Source organism: Homo sapiens, chromosome 13 (genome assembly GCF_000001405.40).
Source record: "Homo sapiens chromosome 13, GRCh38.p14 Primary Assembly".
Taxonomy (NCBI): Eukaryota; Metazoa; Chordata; class Mammalia; order Primates; family Hominidae; genus Homo; species Homo sapiens.
In genome coordinates, this window is record NC_000013.11 from 50,090,732 (window position 1) to 50,113,131 (window position 22,400).

The 22,400-nt window shown below is 37.2% G+C and overlaps 2 long non-coding RNA genes and 1 pseudogene across 4 annotated transcripts in view; 2 read left to right on the forward strand and 1 right to left on the reverse strand.

Moving 5' to 3' along the window:
* DLEU2 (deleted in lymphocytic leukemia 2) overlaps positions 1–22,400 on the reverse strand; it is a 142,993-nt gene that overhangs the window by 108,183 nt on the left and 12,410 nt on the right. The window lies entirely within an intron of this gene.
* The window catches only part of DLEU1 (deleted in lymphocytic leukemia 1), a 446,475-nt gene that overhangs the window by 8,563 nt on the left and 415,512 nt on the right, over positions 1–22,400 (forward strand). For 2 of the 3 annotated variants that reach the window (NR_109973.1, NR_002605.2), the window contains one exon: positions 13,973–16,487. The exons of the other annotated variant lie outside the window; for it this stretch is intronic. This is a non-coding gene — a long non-coding RNA (deleted in lymphocytic leukemia 1). Of the gene's footprint in view, positions 1–13,972; positions 16,488–22,400 lie in introns of those variants that run through there. 3 annotated transcript variants of the gene reach the window in all.
* Positions 8,603–9,144, forward strand: RPL18P10 (ribosomal protein L18 pseudogene 10; annotated as a pseudogene).

Sequence of the window (22,400 nt, forward strand, 5' to 3'; positions counted from 1 at the left end):
CCCTAATTATAGAATACATGTGCATTAAAGAAAACAGAAAAAAATCAGGAATGATTGGAAGGCATTGCTTCTGAAGGCCTCTTAACAATATACCTCTCTCCTCATCTCCTTTCCCAGTTGACCAAAGAAGGCTCCGTGTTTGTCTTTTATGTATATTAGCATGATTGAACTTCATCCATTTAGCCTTATTGAATACTGTACTTTGTTTCTCTTCAGGAAAATTACAGTTTGATATCTTGTGGGACAGAAGGTTTCATCTTTCAGTCATCAGAGAGCAAAGTAGGAAAGACTTAGAGAGGCAAAGTCCCTCTGCACCTAAGGATACACTATTTTTACTCTAAGGGGGCCATGAGGGTTTATTTACTTTCATCATTTTGGGGTGAGGAATGGTTAGAAACTGAGGGAGCATAAATAGGTTAAGTATTATCCATGACAGTAGGGTGGGAGTTAATGGAAGCTCATTTATAGCAGTTCTACTTCCTGATTTATGGGTATGTGTGGTGCATTTTAAAGAGATTCTGGTGAACTAACAAGGTGTAATAATTGTATTTTGTTATATATCATATTATTGACTGCCGGACTGCTTAACATGCAGCTTAATAATTATTATGGATATCTTTAAATATGCCACATTCACTTTATTCAGAAGTGAACTGATAAGCAACAAGCTGCCATGTGCTGAACAGTATTAGGTACTGGGATAAACAAGGGTTTTAAATGCTGAGAATAGTGTAAGCTATATATGTTTCTGTATAGCCTTCATGGTTTGCTAATAAGGTAATCTGTTGTCATTTCATAATTGAAATACTAGGGGGAATGTTGTAAAAATGCTCTTTATTATTGTTATTTAAATGGAAGTATTTTGTGTGGTTTTATAGTCATGGTGGGAAATCATGAGTTTTTGGACTAGGGTAGTGATGGTTGGGATAGAAGATGAGGGAAAAATCTGTAATGCCTCCCTGGTCCCTGGCCTGGTTGTAGAGTACAATGGTGGTATCATTAACCAGGACAGGGACAAGTGGAGGAGGCTCATGGCTTTTGAGAGAGAGAGAGAGAGAGAGAGAGTGTGTGTGTGTGTGTGTGTGTGTGTGTGTGTGTGTGTGTGTGTATGTTTATGGGTGTGAGATGGAACGCTGGGACATGAGAGGGAGATGACAAGTCCAGTGAGGACATTTTGAATATGAAAGATTAAGCACTCATGGGATACCTAAGTAGGGAAGTTCAGTAAGGAGCTCAATATATACGACTGAGGCTTAGGAGAAAGGCCTGGGCTGGAAATGGATATCACTAAATAGGTGGTAGTTCAGATTATGAGGGAAATGGATGCCATTGCTCATAGAGACTAAACATAGAGGAAATGAGAACCAAAATTAGTAAATGGGCAAAGTAAGAGGAAGCAGCAAAAGACTGAGAAGGAATGGCTGAGAGAGGGGCAGGAACACCAACAGAGCTCAGAGTTAAAGGAGCCAGTGGTAGAGAGGTTTCAAAAGGAAAGAAGTCAGGAGTGTCAGAAGGTAAAGACAGGCCAAGTAAACTGAAAAAGATAAAAGGATTTGGCAGTTCTGTCATTAGTAATGTTTGCCAGAACACTTTCAATGAAACAATGGTGGCAGAATTCTGTTTGTGTTGAGTTGAAAAGTATATTAAAATAGGGAAAGGGGCTGGGTGCAGTGGCTCTTGCCTGTAATCCCAGCACTTTGGGAGGCCCAAGCAGGCAGATCACCTGAGGTCGGGAGTTTGAAACCAGTCTGACCAACATGAAGAAACCCTGTCTCTACTAAAAATACAAAATTAGCTGGGCATGGTGACACATGCCTGTAATCCCAGCTACTCAGGAGGCTGAGGCAGGAGAATTGCTTGAACCTGGGAGGCAGAGGTTGTGGTGAGCCGAGATTGCGGCATTGCACTCCAGCCTGGGCAACAAAAGCGAAGCCCCGTCTCAAAAAAAAAAAAAAAAAAAAAAGAGAATGGTTACAATAAATGTGTATTATTTCAAGGCTCTTGACATTTTCTTAAAAACAAAAGATGATAATTTTAGGGAGGAGGTTACAGAATAGAGTAGGAGATCTACAAGAGAAGAGAACTTAACATTTTTATAAAGTATGGGGACAGAGTCATCAGAGAGGAGAAATTAGAAAGGTATAGTGAGATCTAGTAGGAGATAAGGGTGCAGGTAAAGGAATTAACCCAGAAAAGAGAAAGGATACCTTTTCCTCTGAGACTAGAAGGGAACAGGTAAGATGGTTTTATGTATAACTTGTAAATCTAGAGCAGGAAGTTGAGGGAATTCATAGCTAATAGTTTTAGTTTTTATTTTTTTTCTGATAAAGGAGTCATAAAAGAGGTAAGGGTAGAGCTGAAGTAGCAAGTTTGAGTTGAAGTAAGATGGTACAAAATATATGCTCTAGGTAATGGGAGAGGGAATTAATGAGGGAGGAAGGTTGTTAGCAGAAGAGGGTGATGTACCTGAGAACCTAGGCTGGATAGGAAAAGACACAAAGCATGTGGGAGATTGTAGTTTGAAGAAATGAGATTGTAGTTTGAAGAAATGAGGAATGGGTATCAAAATTAGGTAAGAAAGCAGGTATTTAGGGAGTAATGGAGTAAAAAAACTGCAAGGATAAGTAGTTGTAGTCAGAGATCAATATATTGGACTCTTAAGGCTGTAGAATAATTTCTTGGTTATCAGAAGATAGAGGGTGTAGCTTTGGGTATGGATTACTGAATGAAGTGGTTTTATGGAGTCAGAGTTCATAGTTTTTCAATGGGTTTTCCATATGGACACTGAAGTGGGAGGTGATGGCAGAAAATGCAGGGGAGGCAGATACTGTCAGCAAAGGGCCAGAGTCCTCAACAAAATGGAATGACTGGGTAATTAATAAGAATGAAAGAAAGGAGTAAAAAATTCCCAAGATTGTTCATCATGCCTTTTTTTTTTCCTCGTAAATTAAGAGACATGAGGGTAAGGACTATGTCTGAATTAATCCAACAAATGCAAATATTTGTTGAATTAATAAGTGAATGATAAACTCATGTTGAATAAGTATTTCAGAAAACTTGTTTTTTTCTTATTATAAGTAGTCGATATTAAAGAAAATACAAATAAGCAGGATGTAGGAAAAAATAATCCCATCAGCCAGAAATACCTACCCCCAACACCCTTTGTTATTAAACTTTTTGCTTAAATCTGTTTGTTGTTCATATATTTTTTTCCTAGCAATATTCAGTTGTACACTTTAACATCTAAATAAGTATTTTCTTATGGAATATAAGGATGTACTATAATTTAAGCAGTTCCTTATTTTGGGGCATTTATATTGATTCCACCCAAGTTTCTTCAACTGGTAAAACGAAAAACCTAATAGCTATTTTTTTTTTTTAGACAGTTTCGTTCTTGTCGCCCAGGCTGGAGTGCAATGGCACAATCTTGGCTCACTGCAACCTCTGCCTCCCAGGTTCAAGCAATTCTGCTGCCTCAGCCTCCTGAGTAGCTGGGACTACAGGCGTATGCCACCATGCCCGGCTAATTTTTGTATTTTTAGTAGAGACAGGATTTCACCATGTTGGACAGGCTGGTCTTGAACTTCTGACTTTGGGTGATCTGCCCGCCTCGGCCTCCCAAAGTGTGGGGATTACAGGCGTGTGCCACCACGCCCGGATAATTTTTGTATTTTTAGTAGAGATGGGGTTTCACCATGTTGGCCAGGCTGGTCTTGAACTTCTGACCTCAGGTGATCTGCCCGCCTCAGCCTCCCAAAGTGTTGGGATTACAGGTGTGTGCCACCACGCCCAGCATAATAGCTAAATTTTTGCCTTACTTATTTTCTTAGGATTCTTAGAAGTAGATTTTCTAGGAGGGGCTTCATAGAGATCCTATTTATCTTTATTTTAGGGCCATTTCTAACAGGCTTGTTTATGTGCATTCCATCCAGGATTGGAATCCTGGACAATGGACAGTGTTGCAGGTATTGACTGATGCAGGCATGCTGACAGCCACAAAAGTGAGAACTGTTAGTCACAGGTCCTTCTTCACAAAAAGAATGATGGGTATTTTTAAAACTTGGAATCAAGTATAGTTTTCATGAGCACAGTAAGAGATGATTCATGAGCTGAATACAGGATATAGTAGTCAATTCAGAAATGCATATTCAAATTAAATAAAAAACTCTTACAATAGTCTATATTTGTTGATAATACTGAACTTTAGTAGAGGTTTTTTTCCATAAATTTTAAAACTGTGGCAAAATACTCATGAAGTTTATCAACTTAACCATTTTTAAGTGTACAGTTCAGTGGTATTAAATACATCCATTATGTTGTAACCATCACCACCATTCATCTTTGTAACTAGTAGAGGTATTAATATACCAATCTTGAATAGTCATCAAAGTCACTCTACCTCAAACTTTTCCACAAAAGTATGGTTAGTAGCAGAGAGGAGTGAACAATTGCCTTAAAAACTTGGTCCCAAGCTAGAATTCTTTTTAGCTTCATGTTTTGTCTTAAATTTAATGTAAATGTAGTGTTACATACCATAATGTTCCTATATTTAGTAAAATACAATGATTATACATTTTTTCAAAATCTCTGAGGGAGGTTGATCCCCTTAACTTTGGCAATTTTGAGACGAAGTCTTGCTCTGTCACCCAGGCTGGAGTGCAGTGGCATGATCTCAGCTCACTGCAACCTCTGCCTCCCGGGTTCAAGCGATTCTCATGCCTCAGCCTCCCGAATAGCTGGGATTACAGGCATGTGCCACCATGCCTGGCTAATTTTTGTATTTTATTAGAGATGGGGTTTTGCCATGTTGGCCAGGCTGATCTTGAACTCCTGACCTCGGGTGATGCGCCTGCCTCGGCCTCCCAAAGTGCTGGGATTACAGGCGTGAACCACCATACCCGGCCTTCATTTTTCTTTTACGGTTTAGCCAAGGCTATTTATAGTAGTGTATGTCAAGGAGTAGACTGATTGATGTTCACCCTCTTCAAATGTGAGTGTCACAGAAACTGAAATTCACAGAGTAAAAATTTAGAAGTATCCTTTTATATTATATTTGCTCTAGTAATCAAGCATACTTCATCATTATTAATGCTATGAGACAATCTTATTGTACAAATAAAGAGAATGATTTCATGTGCTGGCTAGGGCCATAGCCCCACCTTTCCAAAGAGTATCAACTTTTCAACTATCCATGCATTATGACTCCAGAGACTTGTAAACCCTCTCAGGTGTAATAAATTTTTTTTTTTTTTTTGAGAGGAGTCTCGCTCTGTTGTAAGGCTGGAGTGCAGTGGCGCTATCTCGGCTCACTGCAACCTGCGCCTCCTGGGTTCAAGTGATTCTCCTGCCTCAGCCTCCCGAGTAGCTGGGACTACAGGTGCGTGCCACCACGCCCAGCTAATTTTGTGTTTTTAGTAGAGATGGGGTTTCACCGTGTTGGCCAGGCTGGTCTCGATCTCTTGACCTCATGATCCACCTGCCTCGGCTTCCCAAAATGCTGGGATTACAGGTGTGAGCCACTGTGGCCCGGCCCAGCTGTAATAATTTTGTTCTTCATGCCTGATCCCATTTCAGGAGATTGGTTATTACATTGAAGGACAGTAGCAAAATTGGAACTAAAGTCTGAGTCTCTTAACTCCTAGTTGAGGGTCTTTCCAATTACACCAAAAGGAAAAGAGTTACATATAACAAGAGATAAGACTTACTCCTACCTGCCCCCACAAAACCACTTTAAGCCATCCTAAGAACGGTCTCTTTTTTCTCCCTCCCTCTCTCCTTCCCTTCACCTTTCCTTTCTTCTTCTTCTTACCTTTTTTGGGGGTAACTCCCAACCACCCCAGTTCTCAGAATTAAAAGGTTAAGAATATTTTAGTACTCTTCAAGATACAAAGTAGACTATTAGAGTTTTTTGTTGTTGTTTCTCAAGCTTGGGACATAAAGCTCAGAGATCAGAACAACAGAATTTTAGAAAGGAATAGATAGGATACATGAAAAAGGCTGCTGGAATATGAAAAAACTGGAGTAAAAATAAGCAAATCAATACTTCTGAAATGAAGCCTTCATTGGTAGAAAAGAGTGTAGGTCACAAAAATGAATTAGCAGAAGTTCTTGATTTCTAATTATTGAAGATTCCTATCTAGTGGTATTCTAATATGCTTACCAAATTATGAGTTGCATTACTTTTTAAAAACCTAAAACCAAGTCAAGATTTACAGAGTGACCCCAGTTTATTTTGTTTGGTAAGTTTTCAGTTCCAGTTATTAGGCAAAACAAAAATTGCTAATACGTAACAATGCTGAAACAGGCGATTGGTAGAATAAAACAAAAGGGATTCATACAGCTTTTGTACTGTCTTCTTGAAAAAGTCATATTTGGCCATAAAAGCTAATACATGCTTTAGGAATGGAAATGATTTAACCTGATTTTTTCAAGTAAGATTTGTTCAAGAATAATGGGCTTATGTTGTCAGTTGTGGGTTCAAGCAGTAATTCACTTTGGACTGCTTCTATTCAACAGTATGCTGTCTGTACGTAAAGAGTTACATGGAATTTAATTTTAGCATTGGAATCTATTTGAGATACCATTATCTTTTATATTCAAATGAAAAATTATGGGCCTCTAGAATTAAGTGTTACTAACCTGATATAGATAGAATAATAGCTGTATCAAAAGGAAAAAAGCAAGGATAATATGTGTATAGGGTTTGAATCATACAGTCTCACTAGAGATGTGTTTTTTAAAATTGTGAATGTTTGTTGATTCATTCAAAACCGTTTGAAAATTGTGAGGGAGCCAGAAAAGGGGAGAATATTTGGATGTATAATTTAGATGTATAGTTTGCTTGCTTATCAGGGAATAGTTAAGTTCCTTTTTTTTCTGTATATTTTAGTTGGTGAAATTAACAGTTTTTGTTCTTTTAGATTACCCTGTAAAAGAACATGGCATTTTATAGATGAGATAATTGAGGCTTATACATGTTGAGTTATAATGTGTGGAGGAGTCTGATGTGCATCCAAGTCTGTCTGCCCCTAATGTCTCTGTTTTTAACCATTATCCTCAGAATGAAATACATTCATATAGTAGAGACCAATTCTTAAACAGAAGTCATCTTTACTCACAAAATTAATCTGTGAAGTACCCACTGTTCTCAGTTTCTCTCCCTCTCACTTTTTCTTTCTAGTGCTTTGCAGTTTTTAATGAAAGTGAATATTTTTTTCAGAAATTATTATTTTCATGTTTTTTATTAGAGGATTAAATTTGTTGCTAAGATCATTTAGTAAGTCTTTTGCAGTCTTTTAAGATTAGACTTAAGTGTAAACTTAAAGATTGCCTTGAAGTATATTATTTAGCTATATTGCATTATTATTCCTTATGTAATGAGCTATAGACTGAGCACTCCTTGACAAATCACAAGAATAAGACCCAAAGAATCAAACTTTCCCAAGTAACTTAACTGCATCCCAGGACAAAACTCAGGAACATTTAGAGGAACAGAAGACTATCCAGCAGCCAACAGATAAAATTCACAATGCCTTGCCAGGCACACAAAGAAGCCAGAAAAAATAATCCACAATGATGAAAACAATCAATCATCTGAAAGTGACCTTAAGCAGAGAAAGATGTTAGAACTAGTAAAGACATTGAACATTATTATAGCTATATTCTATATTTTCAGAAAGTAGAGACATGAAAGACATTTTTAAAAACTCAATGCAGTTCTAGGGATGAAAACTACAATATCTGAGATCTACTAATGGTATTTGTAGCAGATTAGACATGGCAGAAGAAAAGGTTAGTGAACTTGAAGGATATAGCAAAAGAAACTACTCAAAAATGAAAGAGAAAAAAGAATGACAAAAGCATCAGTGAGCTATGGGACAAACTTACAGAATCCTTATGTAAACATAATCAGAGGCATCAAAGGAGAGGAGAGGCAGATACAAAAGGGATATTTGAAAAAGTAATGGCCAGAATTTTCAAATTGGACAAAAACTATTAACTCACAGATCCAAGAAGCTCAACAAGAAGAAAACTACACCAAGGAATGTCATAATCAAATTATTCAAAGCCAATTATAAAAAATATGGAAAACAGCCACATGTTATAGAGTAACAAAGATAAGGTTGACAGCAGATTTCTCATTAGAAACATTGCAAGTGAAGAGACAGTAGAACATAAAGTACTGAAAGAAAAAAATGTTAACCTCAGCAAAATATCATTCAAAAAACAAAGGCAAAATAAAGATGTTTTCAGACATACGAAAACAACTCTTTACCATCAGGTAGACTGAAGGTAGACTGTGGTAGGGTGAAGATGTATACTGCCCTAGGGCAACCAGTAGAATAACAAAACAGTTATAGCTAATAAGTCAACAAAGGAGATAAGATAGAATCACAAAAAAATACTCAACCCAAAAGAAGGTGGAAAAAGGAACAAATAAGTAGTGAAACTAATAGAAAAATGGCAAGGCAATAGACTGTAATCATATCAGCAATCACATTAAATGCATATTATCTAAATATCCCACTTAAAAGGCAAAGATTGTCAGATAAAAAGCAAGACTGCTTTTGGACCTGGATGAACAGGAGGCACCATCACGGAAGTTGACTCCTGCCACAACAATGACTGAAAGGTTCAACACCAGGAACCCAAGAGCCAGGACATCTACTGAAGGCTGTTGGTTAAGCTGTATATGTTTCTGGCCAGAAGAAACTCTACCTTCAACCAAGTTGTGGTGAAGAGGTTATTTATGAGTTGCACCAAATGGCCATCTCTGTCTCTTTCCTGGATGATCTGGAAGATGAAGCTTCCTGGCCAGGAAAACAAAACAGCTGTGGTTGTGGGGACCATGTTCAGGAGGTGCCCAAACTGAAGGTGTGTGCACTGCACATGAGCAGTTGGGCCTGCAGCCAAATCCCCAAGGCTGGGGACAAGATTCTCACCTTTGACCAGCTGACCCTGGACACCCTCAAAGGCTGTGGCACCATCCTGCTCTCTGGGCCTCACAAGGGCCAAGAAGTGTACTGGCATTTCAGCAAGGCCCTGGGAACCCAGCATAGCCACACTAAGCCCTGTGTCCACTCCAGGGACCAGAAATTCAAGCACATCAGAGGCTGATGGGCCAGCCAAGGCTACAAAAACTAACCCTGGATCCTCTATCTTATTAAAAAGATTTTGGCCTGGGCGCAGTGGCTCATCCCTGTAATCCCAGCACTTTGGGAGGCCAAGGAGGGCAGATCACTTGAGCCTAGGAGTTCAAGACCAGCCTGGGCAACAAGTGAAACTCCATCTCTATAAAAAATTAAAAAAAAAAATTAGTTGGGTGTGGTGGTACATGCCTGTAGTCCCAGCTACTTGGGAGGCTGAGGCAAGAGGATCGCTTGAGCCCAGGAAGTCAAGGCTCCAGTGAGCCATGATCGTGCCACTGCACTCCACCCTGGGCGACAGAGTGAGACCCTGTCTTAGAACAAAACAAAACGAAACAAAAAATTTTGGATGGTGGGGGAAAGGAAAATAAAAAACAAGATCCAACTATATACTCTCAATAAAAAAACACATTTTAGGCTGGGTGTGATGGCTCCCAGCACTTTGGGAGGTCAAGGCAGGTAGATCACCGGAAGTCAGGAGTTCAAGACCAGCCTGGCCAACATGGCGAAATCTCGTCCCTACTAAAAATACAAAAATTAGCCAGGCATGGTGATGGGTGCCTGTAATCCCAGCTACTTGGGAGGCTGAGGCAGAAGAATTGGACGAATGCAGGAGGCAGAGGTTGCAGTGAGCAGAGATCATGCCACTGCACTCCAGCCTGGGAGACAAAACGAGATTCCGTCTCAAAAAAAAAAAAAAAAAAAAGAAAAAGAAACACATTTTACACACAAAGACATAATAACATTAAGAATAAAAGGATGACCAGGCACAGTGGCTCATGCCTGTAATCCCAGCACTTTGGGAGGTTGAGGCAAGAGGATCACTTGAGCCCATGAGTCTGAGACCAGCCTGGGCAATATGGTGAGATCCTGTCTCCACAAAAAATTAGCCAAGTGTGGTGGTGCACACCTGTAGTCCCAGCTACTTGGGAGGCTGAGGTGGGAGGATAGCTTGAACCCAGGAAGTCAAGGCTATAGGGAGTGGTGATCACGCCACTGTACTCCAGCCTGGAGTGACTCAAAGTACAGTCACTTTGAGACAGAGTGAGACTCTGTCTCAAAAAAAAAAAAAAAAAAAAAAAAAGGTAAAAGGATGGAAAAAGATATATCATACTGATGCTGGCATTAGTCAAAAGAAAACTGGTGTGGCTATATTAACATGAAATAAAGTAGATTTCAGAGCAAATAATATTACCAGGAATAAAGAAGGCCATTTTATAATAATAAAAGGGCTGGTTAATCAGAAGGATACAATAATCCTACATGGTTTTGTCTCAAATAATAAAAGCTTCAAAATATGTAAATCAAAAACTGACAGAAGTGCAAGGAAAAACAGACAAATCCATAGTTAGAGATTTCAATACCCCTCTTTAAATGATTGCTAAAACAAGTAGAAACTTACAAGGATATAGTAAACTCAAGCAACACTGTAACCAAATTAACAGTACAGGTTGAGCATCCCTAATCTGAAATACAAAATGCTCCAAAATCCAAAATTTTTTGAGCACCAACATGACCCAATACGTTGGGTCCTATTCCCAGGATCTCTTATTATATATATATATATAAATGTTCAGAAAATCCAAAAAACTTTGAAATCTGAAACACTTCTGGTCCCAAGCATTTTGGATAAGGGATACTCAACCTGTAATAGAATATATATTCTCTTCAAAGTATACATGAAACATTTACCCAAATCGATCATATTCTAGGCCAGAGGTTATCAAACTATGGCCCTGAGGCCAAATGTAGTCTGTTTTTGTATAGTCCATGAACTAAAAATGGTTTTTACATTTTGAAAGATTTCTTTAAGAAGAAAAGAAAATATGTGACAAAGATCATATGTGGCCCACAGAGTTTAAAATATTTACTGTCTGACCCTTTAGAGAAGTTTGCCTGCCCCTGTTCTAGGCCATAAAACATGTCTCAGTAAATTTTAAAGGATTCAGATAATGCAGAGTATGTCTTCTGACTACAGTAGAATTAAAATTAGAAATCAATAACAGAAAGCTGTCTGGAAAATCCCCAAATGTTTGGAAACAAAATAACATGCTACTAAATAACCTTCTAATAACCCATTGATTAAAATAGGAGTGCAGTAAAATTAGAAGGCATTTTGAGCTGAATGAAAATGAAAACAAAGCATATCAAATTTTGTGGCATGCCACTAAAGCAGTATGTAGGAAGACATAAGCAAAATGCTTATATTAGAAAATATAAAAAGTCTCAAGTTAATGAGCTTCCACCTTAAGAAATTAGAAAAGAAGAACAAATTAAACACAAAGAAACAAAAGAAATAATAAAGATCAAAGTAGAAATAAATGAAATGGAAAACAAAATAAATTGAGAGTATTAATGAAACCAAACCCTGGTTCTTTGAGATAAATAAAATTGATAAATCTTTTGCCACGCTGATCAGGAAAAAAAAAAAAAAAAGAGAGAAGACACATATTACCAATATCAGGAATGAGAGGTGAAATATGACAAATTCTACAGATACTTAAAGAATAGCAAGGGAATATTATGAAAAACCTTAAGCAAATAAAATTCAACAACTTAGATGAAATGGTCAAATTCCTTGAAAGACATAACTACCAAAGCTTACTCAAAAAGAAGTACAGCCAGGTGCAGTGGCTCACACCTGTAATCCCAGCATTTTGGGAGTTTGAGGTGGGCAGATCACTTAAGTCCAGGAGTTCGAGACCAGCCTGGGCAATGTGAAGAAACCCCATCTCTACTAAAAATACAAAAAAATTTAGCTGGGTGTGGTGGTGCATGACTGTAGTCCCAGCTACTTGGGGGGCTAAGGCGGGAGGATCGCTTGAGCTTGCGAGATTGAGCCCTGATTATGCCACTGCATTCCAGCCTGGGTGAAAGAGTGAGACCCTGTCTCAAAAAAAAAAAAAAAAAGAAAAAAAAGAAAAAAAAAAGAAAAAAAAGAAAAAAAAAAGAAAAAGAAATAGATAACTTCCAAAGCTATGTATCTATTTTTAAAAAATTAATAGTTAAAAATATTCTCACAAAGAAACACTAGTGGATTCTTCCAGACACTTAGGGATAACACTGTGTATACCAATTATATACAAATCTTCCAGAAAACTGAAGAGGAAGGAATACGTCTCAGTTTATTTTTGGGGGCCAGCATTACCCTGATACCTAAACCACACAAAGCCATTACAAGAAAAGAAAACTATAGCCCAGTTTCCCTCTTGAACATGGATGTAATAATTCTCAACGAAACTTTAACAAGTCAAATCCAACAAAATATAAGAAAGTTAATATTACTGGATGAGGTTTATCCCAAAAATATGTCATTGCTTTAAATTAAAAAATTAATCATTGTAAGTCACTATATTAAGCTAAAAAAGAAAATCTGATCATTTCAATAGACACCCAAAAAATCTGACAAAATCGTATATTTGTTCCTGATTTTAAAAAACCAAAAACAAAAAAAACAAAAAAAACAAAAAAAAAACCAAACCTGTTAGCAAACTAGGAATAGAAGGGTACTTTCTCAACCAGATAAAGGACATCTATAAAAATCCTACAGATAGCCTTATGCATAATGATGAAAAACTGCATGCTTTCCCTTTCCCCGTAAGATAAAGAATAATACAAAGATATCTGCTCTGACCACTTTCATTCAACATCAGAGGTTCTGTCCAGGGCAATCAGGCAAGAAAAAGAAATAAATCGCATTCAAGTTAGAAAGGAAGAAATACAACTGATGATAGCCATCATTCCTAAGAGTTCCCCTTGCCTCTTTATAATCCTTGCCTCCTCTTACCTCTCTCCCCAGGAAACCACTGGCCTGTTTTCTGTCACTAGAGACCAGTTTGCATTTTCTAGAACTGATATATGTGGAATCATGCAGTATGTTACTCAATTTTTTTTGTCAGTAATTGGTAGCTTATCTTGCAATCAAAGTTCATATACAACCATTTGATCTTCATTCCATTCCCTCATTAGTCCATAGAATGTCAATCAATTTTTCTTTCTTTTATTTATTTATTTTAACGAAACAGGGTCTTGTTGTGTTGCCTAGGCTGGAGTGCAGGCTTACTTCAACCTCCAACTCCTGGGCTCAGGTGATCCTCCCGCCTAAGCCTCCAGAGTAGCTGGGACTACAAGGGTGTGTCACCATGCCTGGCTAACTTTTTAAAATTTTTTGTATTGATGGGGTCTTGCCATGTTGCCCAGGCTGGTCTCGAACTCCTGAGCTCAAGACCTCCCAAAGTGCTGGGATTACAGGCATGAGCCACTGCGCCTGGACTCAATTTCTGTATGATGATGACTTTCATATGTACATCAACAGGCCAGATAGCTTATCAAGAAAGCTTCTCCTCTGTCTTCTAGTAATATCCCACTTAGATCTGACATTATTTTTTTCCTTCAAGGTATTTCTTCCAAATTTCTTGGCTGTTGTTGGTGACAACACAAGTTTTTGGACCTTTAAGTTTACAATCTTAGGTTCATTTCCTTATTTTATTTCTTCCCTATAGGTAAATGATCACTAAACTTGTTACTTCTTATAGTTACTTCTTTGTAAGGCACTGCAGATATGTTTCTTTTCATTTTTAAAATTGCCCATTTAATTCAAGCTATTAAATATCAAGCTTGTACTATATCAAGAGTACTATATATCAAGACTATAGCCTCTTGATATTTTCCCTACCCTCCCATCCTGCCATACCCATGTCTCCACTAGCCTATATAAAACATAAAATACTTTTCATCAAACTCTCTGTAGAGAAGTGTTGCTGGGCGAATAAGAAAAACCTGATTGACTAGAAAGCAAATGTAAATGTAATCTCCTTTCTTTTCAGTGATTCTACCAGAAAGGAATGAAGAACAGAACCTTCAGGAATTGAGTCACAATGCAGACAAATATCAAATGGGAGATTGTTGCAAGGAAGAGATTGATGATAGTATTTTCTACTAGCCATTGGGAAGATAAAAGGAGACAGAAGATTGAAGCCTTTGCCAGCCATTCTTTCCCTTTTTGCTTCCAAACTCCTCAACTGGGAACCTTCATATGTGCAGTATTTATATTGGATCATACTGGTGATTATAAAAGTTCCTAGGAGGCTAGAAGAGCCAACCAACAGAGAAGGGAAAGCAGTCTGTTCTGAACATAGGGACATAAGTTCATTCATGCCAAGTATCTTTCCAGCATGTTTCTCCCATTTAGAATATCTAGCATGTAAGGCCTTTCAATATTAATATAAGCCCAATATCAGCTCTTTCTCTTTGTATTTCATCTCTTTCTACTCTCCTATTTGTATTTTGTGTTCCTATCAAAGTGTCGTATCTGGGAGATGACCTGCCTTATCCTGTTCTATAACAGTTTTGTTTGCTGCTGTGTCTTTAGAACAGTGCCTGGCACACAGTAAGCACTCAATAAATCTTTGATGAATGAATGAATGGTTATCTTTTCTCTCTGGCAATCCAAATTCACCACTCCTTAAAAATTCTACATAAGATTTGCTGGCTGGGCGCAGTGACTCACGCCTGTAATCCCAGCACTTTGGGAGACTGAGACAGGTGGATCACCTGAGGTCAGGAGTTTGAGACCAGTCTCAACATAGCGAAACCCCATCTCTACTAAAAGTACAAAAATTAGCCGGGCGTGGTGGCAGGCGCCTGTAATCCCAGCTACTTGGGAGACTGAGGCAGGAGAATCACTTGAGCCCAGGGGGGCAGAGGTTGCAGTGAGCTGAGATCACGCCACTTCACTCCAGCCTGGGCAAAAGAGCAAAACTCCGTCTCCAAAAAAAAAAAAAAAAGATTTGCCTATTCCAGCAGACTTCTACCCAATATCAATCTAGATTTAAATCACTTGATTTTCCACATCCCTTTAGCAATTATGTATAGTTTGCACTTCATTAACCTACCCTTATTTATGTTACTTCTCACATACACCCATATCTCTTCTGTATTTTCAATCAAAAGATAATGCCTCAAATGTTATATATATTGTATGTGCCACTCAACAGTGCCTCATATGCTGCAAAAAAAAAAGACAGTAAACAATCGGGGTACCTTTTTGTCTTTTAAGCCATATTTTCTGGGTCAGTGTGGTCTTTCAAGGGAGTTTAGACAGGCTCTATTTTTTGTTACTTCACTCCTATAGTATGTGACTGTAAATTGTTCCTTCAGTGTTCAATTTAAGTACAAACTAAAGAGAAACAGTTTCCTAAAGAAAAACATTTTAAAGTTACAGAGACACCTATGTGTTCGTAACATTTCTCCAGAAATATTTGAAGTAACGTAAAACTTCTGGACTGGTCAGTTTAAATATTTTCTTGGAATTTCTATAGAAATTTCTGTGGAATGGTGTTATATTGGAAATATTAATTAACTATAAGAAGACTCCTACTTCTTCACAGAGAACAAGCAGGGATATCCTGGATTTTCACAGTATTTAGGCCACTCCTTAATTGTCTCATGAAGGAATTAAGGTAGTGGAACACATTCAAGAATTGCTTAGGTGTCAAAATAAGACAAAGTGTAACAGTTTTTTTCTGTAGTAGATTTTTAAATAGTTAAAAGACTCTGCCCTCTTTATCTATACTGTATTCTGGCAATAATAAAGTTGGGCAGCCTATACATAAAAGCAATTTCTAACAATGCCAAATTAACAGCAGTTTCTTGGCCCTTTCCTTTCCCTCCATGAAAGTTACAATATTAGGTTATTTCACAGGTTTCCTCCATGCCCCCCATACCCAACCTAAAACTGTGTTAGGCTGTCAAAGAAAACAAATCAGGTAAGATTAGTGTTTGCCTTTACGCAGTCATTCTAAGTACACATAAAATCATACATAATATGAAAATACAGCAGGAAGAGAAACATCAAACCATAGAACTGAGTTTTAGTTTTACTGACATTTATATGGCATACTTCCTGTTTTTGATTTCAGAAGTGCAACCATGCAGTGCTTCTATGAAAAACTGAATAGTTGAGTACAGTTTGAGGATTATAACAACTTATCCAAAGGAAACAAACAGACCTAACTTACTGCTGTTTTCATTTGTGGAACTGCTATCTTTGTTGTAAAAAGTTGAGTATTTTTCAAACATCATTTAATAATAGGGTAGCCCCTAAAACAAGTAAGGAGCTATAAGTCTGAGTTGTGAATTTGACTAGTAATGGAATAAGAAAACCAAGCCAAACTCCATCTAAATATGTATGTAAAGGTAATGCTTGTAAAAATTTGCTTTTTCCTCATTTTGAGATTTCAGTTGCCAGTTGACTATTGGTATGCAAAATTAACAATTCTGCCTAAAGGAGGTAAACGATAGAGGTTAATTCTTAAATAAAAGTCCCTTTGTTTCACTATTAACTTTTTCTATTTGAAGCATAATTGTGTCAGCTAATTTATTTTTTGGTAACCACTTAGGAATTTGGGAGGGAGGGGGGCACTCAAGTAAGCAATGACAGCCAGCTAGACATCAAAATCCATGTTCTCACTTCATGGCCGTACAGATAAATTTCATTTCCTAGCCTCTCTTGCAGTTAGATGTGGGCATATGACTAAGCTCTAGCTAGTGGAATGAGAATGGATGTCAACTACTTTAAGCTCTTTAAGTCAACTAAAGAAATCAACTACTTTAAGCTCCTGTCCCTAAAAAACTCCCAACAGACTGACCCCTCCAAGGAAACCTTGGAAGTTAGGTCCTAAATGCTTAGGTACAGTAAGACCTTGGAAACTACTAAAGAAATAGTAAAGTAAACTTGTTTTGCAAGAACAACTTTGAGCCACTATATATTTTGGGGATGATCTATTATGGCAATTAGCCTGCCGTCATTAATTTGATCTATAAAACATATATGAAGTGTCCCTGTGATACACAACTCCAGTGGTCACACACTGTAATGTATGCAACTGGGATTTTTCTGAAGCACAACTGAGAGGCTACAGGTATGCATACATATGGATATAGGTAAATGTTCCTCCCAGGAGTGGTAAAATGCTGTGGCTTTGCCAACTAACTCCAGCTTCTCTCATGGGTTTTATTGTGGATGATTATTGATTTGTGTAAAGGAACTTCCCTTTTGTGTCTGTGGTAATAGATAAAGGTGGAATGGATCCTCCAACAAGAATCTTGAGGGGAAAATATATACTTATGATCAAAATAAGATATCTTTCTTGGGTTTGTCCAATAGTGATGGCTACATAGTCTTCCTATTACCTTTTATCTACAGGCAGGCAGTAGGCCATAATAGTATTAGAAGCCCCTCCCTTTCTCCAAAAAAAAAAAAAAAAAAGTGCTCTGAGCAGTAAAGATATTTAATTTAACATATCTGCGCTTCATGTTTCTCATCTGTAAAATGAGAGTTGGATTATATCACTTCAAAAGTTTCCTTTTTTCACTAAACATTCTCCCATCTATGACTACAATGTCCAGAGCTAATGGTAGAAATATATATATATATATTTTTTTTTTTTGAGAGGGAGTCTCCCTCTGTAGCCAGGCTGGAGTGCAGTGGTGCAATCTCAGCTCACTGCAACCTCCGCCTTCGGAGCTCAAGCGATTCTACTGCCTCTGCCTCCCTAGTAGCGGGGACTACAGGCACGCACCACCATGCCCAGCTAATTTTTTTTTTGTATTTTTATAGAGATAGGGTTTTAACATGTTGGTCAGGATGGTCTAAATCTCTTGACCTCGTGATCTGCCCGCCTTGGCCTCCCAAAGTGCTGGGATTACAGGCATGAGCCACTGCGCCCGGCCAAAATAATTTTTTTTGTTTTCTCTTTTATTTTGAGACACAGTTTCGCTCTTTTTGCCCAGGCTGGAGTGCACTGGCACGATCTTGGCTCACCACAACCTCTGCCTCCTGGGTTCAAGTGATTCTCCTGCCTCAGCCTCCGGGGTAGCTGGGATTACAGGCGCCGCCCCCGCCCCGCCCCGCCGCCACCACCCGCTAATTTTGTTATTTTTAGTAGAGACGGGGTTTCTCAGTGTTGATCAGGCTGGTCTCAAACTCCTGACCTCAGGTGATCCGCCCACCTCAGCCTCCCAAAGTGCTGGGATTACAGGTATGAACCTCCGCGACCAGCCTATTTGAAATAATTCTTAACATGAGCATTTCTTCAGATTTCAAGTTGATATTACAGAAGCGCAAGTGCTTCATAGAAACTTGAAATTATTTTAAAAAAATGTTTAACTCTCACCAAGGCACAAGAGAGGTTATACTCTTCTCCCAAACAAGCTATTAAATTGAAAGGATTTTAAACTTACCCAAGGTTTTTTAGAGTAGTTTTATTATTATTATTTTATTTATTCGTTTTTTTGAGATGAAGTCTTGCTTTGTCACCAAGGCTGGAATGCAGAGGTGTGATCGGCTCACTGCAGCCCCGACTTACTGGGCTCAAGTTATCCTCCTGCCTCAGCCTCCTGAGTAGTAAGGACTACATGTGTGTGCCACAGTGCCCGGCTAGTTAGAGTAATTTTAAAACACTGTGTCACTTCTCTGATTTCTATACTTTACTCCATGAGTGGAGAAATAATATCAAAGCTAATACAGAATGTGATAGTTATTGAAATAATACTATAAAAAGTCAAAAACTAGACAGCAGATTTTATAGTTTTTCAGTGAATTTACCAGTTAAAAACCTTAAATTTTACTTTTCCTAATTGTATGTTTATAATGTTTCAATGTAATAACAATTCATATAATAGCACATTCAGGATCATGGCAAAATCAGCTAAGTCATAGTTAACACACACTCCTTGTCTCTACGTATGTGGTGCTAAGTCATATTTTTGGTATAGCTAACAAATGATTTTTTGTCTGTCTGCTGGTGGGGTTTTAATCTCCTGGATTTCAACTTTGGTTAAAGTTAAAAAATACACTATCCAGACTTTATACAGGCATGAATTGGCTTTAATTCACATTCTTTTGCTGCAGGAGAGCTGCAGAAATATGGACCTCACTCAGGGATGATACTGTTTTAGAAAGGAGAAGGGACAGGCTGTATAACATTGTCCAGAGTGGAGTTTTCATGTTGCGAGAAAGCCATGTATAGGCCGGAGTACATGAGTAAAAGGAATAACAACTCCCCCATCCCCTGCCACAAAGGAACAAGACAGGAGAGCCAACAATAGTATTTTGACTATTAGTTGACGAGTATGGATTCTAAAAATATCTTTACATAATTGCAGAAATTGAGGAACAATCTAAATGTTTAAAAATGAGATTGATAAATAAATTTTGGTATATCTATATGTTGGAAAGCTATGCAGATGTTAAAAACAGGTTTTCAAAACTATTCAGTAACATGAAAAAATGGTCATTATAAACTACTGAGTGACAAAAATAAGATATAAAACTATATGTAGTAATTAGCAACTATATATTTTAAATACAGGAAGGAAACATGAATGTTAACATTGGTTTTTCTCTGGCTGGTGGGATTACAGATGACAATACTTTTGTGGTTTCCAACATTTCTCTAGTTAACACATTCTGTTTACAATTTTAAACATTACTTTCAAAGAAAAAATGTGATATATGTAAATATGGTTATATAAAATCTGTATACATATGTATTTTATTTATGTATATCAAAACCAGACCAAAAATACTGAGTTTGATAGTTTTCAGATTGACACTGTAACAGAATACTTTCCTTGACCCTCATTTTATGTTGAGATCTTTATGGCAGTGAAAGGGCTAGAGAGAGGCATGTACTTTCAGAGTTTCTGAAATGACATGTATAGTATGAAAAAGCATAGAAGCATTCCTCAATTTTCACATCTTGAATTTTAATACAACCTGTAATTTTGTACATACTAAATGAATGTATTAGTTTTCCAAGCTACAGCATTGGTGGCCAGTTAGCAGTTAATAATAATATTTTTCAAAGGATAATAAATGAAAATATTGTTGGCCAGGTGCGGTGGCTCACACCTGTAATCTCAGCACTTTGGGAAACCAACGCAGGTGGATCGCTTGGGTCCAGGAGTTCTTGACCAGCCTGGGGCACACAGCGAGATCCCGGCTCTACAAAAAAAAACTAAAAAAATTAGTGGGGCATGGTGGCATGCGCCTGTAATCCAAGCTACTCAGGAGGTTGAGGTGGGAGGATCACTTGAGCCTGGGAGGCGGAGGTTGCAGTGAGCCGAGATCCTGCCACTTCACTCCAGCCTGGGCAACAGAGTGAGATACCATCTCAGGAAAAAAAAAAAAAAAAGTTGAATATACTAGAGATCCAAACTATTTGGAGGAATAATTGATTTTCTGGGCAAAGCTAAGAAATAGAAGTTATTCATACTATTGGCTACAAATTTGTAAATATATTGGATTATACTCCCTCCCAAATCATAACTCTTAATCCTGCAGTTTTATTGCATTTTTCTGGGTATTTAGTTTTGTGATGCTTTTCTGGGAGACTAAGTTAAGAGACCCAAACTCAGATTTTAAAATTAGTTCATTTTTTTTTTGTTTTACATTTTTCTAATTATTTCTATCAATGAAACTGTGGCATATTACAAAATTTCAAGATAAATAATTTTCTGTCATGTTTCATAGGTCAAGTAAAAAAAAGGTTCTGCAGCTAAAATAAGGCTTAAGGGGGAAAAGTGGCCAGCAGCACATTCAAAGTTTATGAGCACAGACTTGGGGAATCGGATAGATGTAGGTTCAAATTCTTATACTGGGGGTAGGCAAGAAAGATGCATAAACAGTGAATTTTAAAGTTTGGAGGGATTTTAGAGATCATTTAATCAAAATCCATTGTTTTGCAAAGGAAACTAACACCCTGGAAAGTTAAATATCTCACCTAAAGTTTCAATCCCAGCATTGCTACTCATGTTATCTAGGTTTGCTTACTTCCCAAATTCAGCACTCTTTACTTTCTACTACAATATGCTACATTTGAGGTTGGAGGAGACCAGATTATAGAAAGTACTGAAAATTAGACCAAAGAGTTTGAACTTACTTTAAATCTGTCTGTCTTCATTATTATTATTATTATTTGGAGGAGTGGTACTGGGCACAATGGAATGATAATGATCAGAGTCATAAAAGATGTATAGAGATCCTATGTTTCCTGAAAATTCTGTATCATACTCAGTACAACTTTAAACATTCTAGGGGAGAACCCAACTCATTTCTTTGTCTTATTTAAATAATACTGAGTAATGGAACTGACTAGATTACAGTTGATAACTATTTTATTTTTTCACTTGCTTTTGTCATTTTATTCCATGAATTAATGGTATACATGTGAGATTAAACTGATGCTGAGTTGGGAGGCAACACTGTTTGGTTCTGAAGAGCAGACTTTTCCTTAAAAGTTAAAATATTAAGAATAAAATCAAAACAAAAACCTTGAGTCTAAATTTGAATATGACTCTCAACTTTAAAAGGTAGTCCACATAAATTTTTCTCCTTAGATTTATTTTTGATATTAAAATATATACAGAATTAAAAGAGAAATTTAATTTTTTACAGCAAAATTTTTACCAGATAATGAAGCTTAAAAATGCTGACCTTTTAGCTCATTTCTAGGAATTTATTCTAGTTTAGGAAAATAGATTTATGCATAAAAAAGCTCATGGCAATATTATTTGTAAGTAAAGAAAATAAATAACCACTTACAAGGAACATTATGCAGACACTGAAACTTTTGAGGAGTTTTCAATTTATGATACATTTGAGGAAACATTTATGATACGTTGTCATATAAAAAGGCAGTGTACACAAGCAATTTAAACTTCATCAGCTTAAACAACTGCCTGGAAATATGTCAACTCTCAACAGTTGCCTCTAAATAAAGGAACTATTGGTTATTTTTTCCTGGTGTCCTTTAAATTTTTTTTTCTTTATTTTAACCTATTTTCACACTTTCTTCACTTACCATGTACTACTTCTATAATCAGATACGTGTTTGTATCCTAATGATATGTTTTCAGTATCATCACGAGTATAAACATATGTGTGTATGTGTATGTGTGTGTACATTGTTGACCAAGAGAAAAGTTGATATTACTTAAATCCAAATAATGAAATTTCCAAAAAAACGCATACATATCCTACAACTTATAAAATTATAATGGTTTAATACAATGTACTAAGTATTCTGACATAGCAGGCTTTCAGTATATTAGTTGATGATGAAGATAATTAGAGAAGGGATACCTCAATTAATTTACCAAGTTCCTTGAGTCTGTCAGCAACTCTCCCACCAAGAATTTAACAATATAATATGACATTAAAAAGCTGGTTTGTGTGGTGCATTTTTGCAA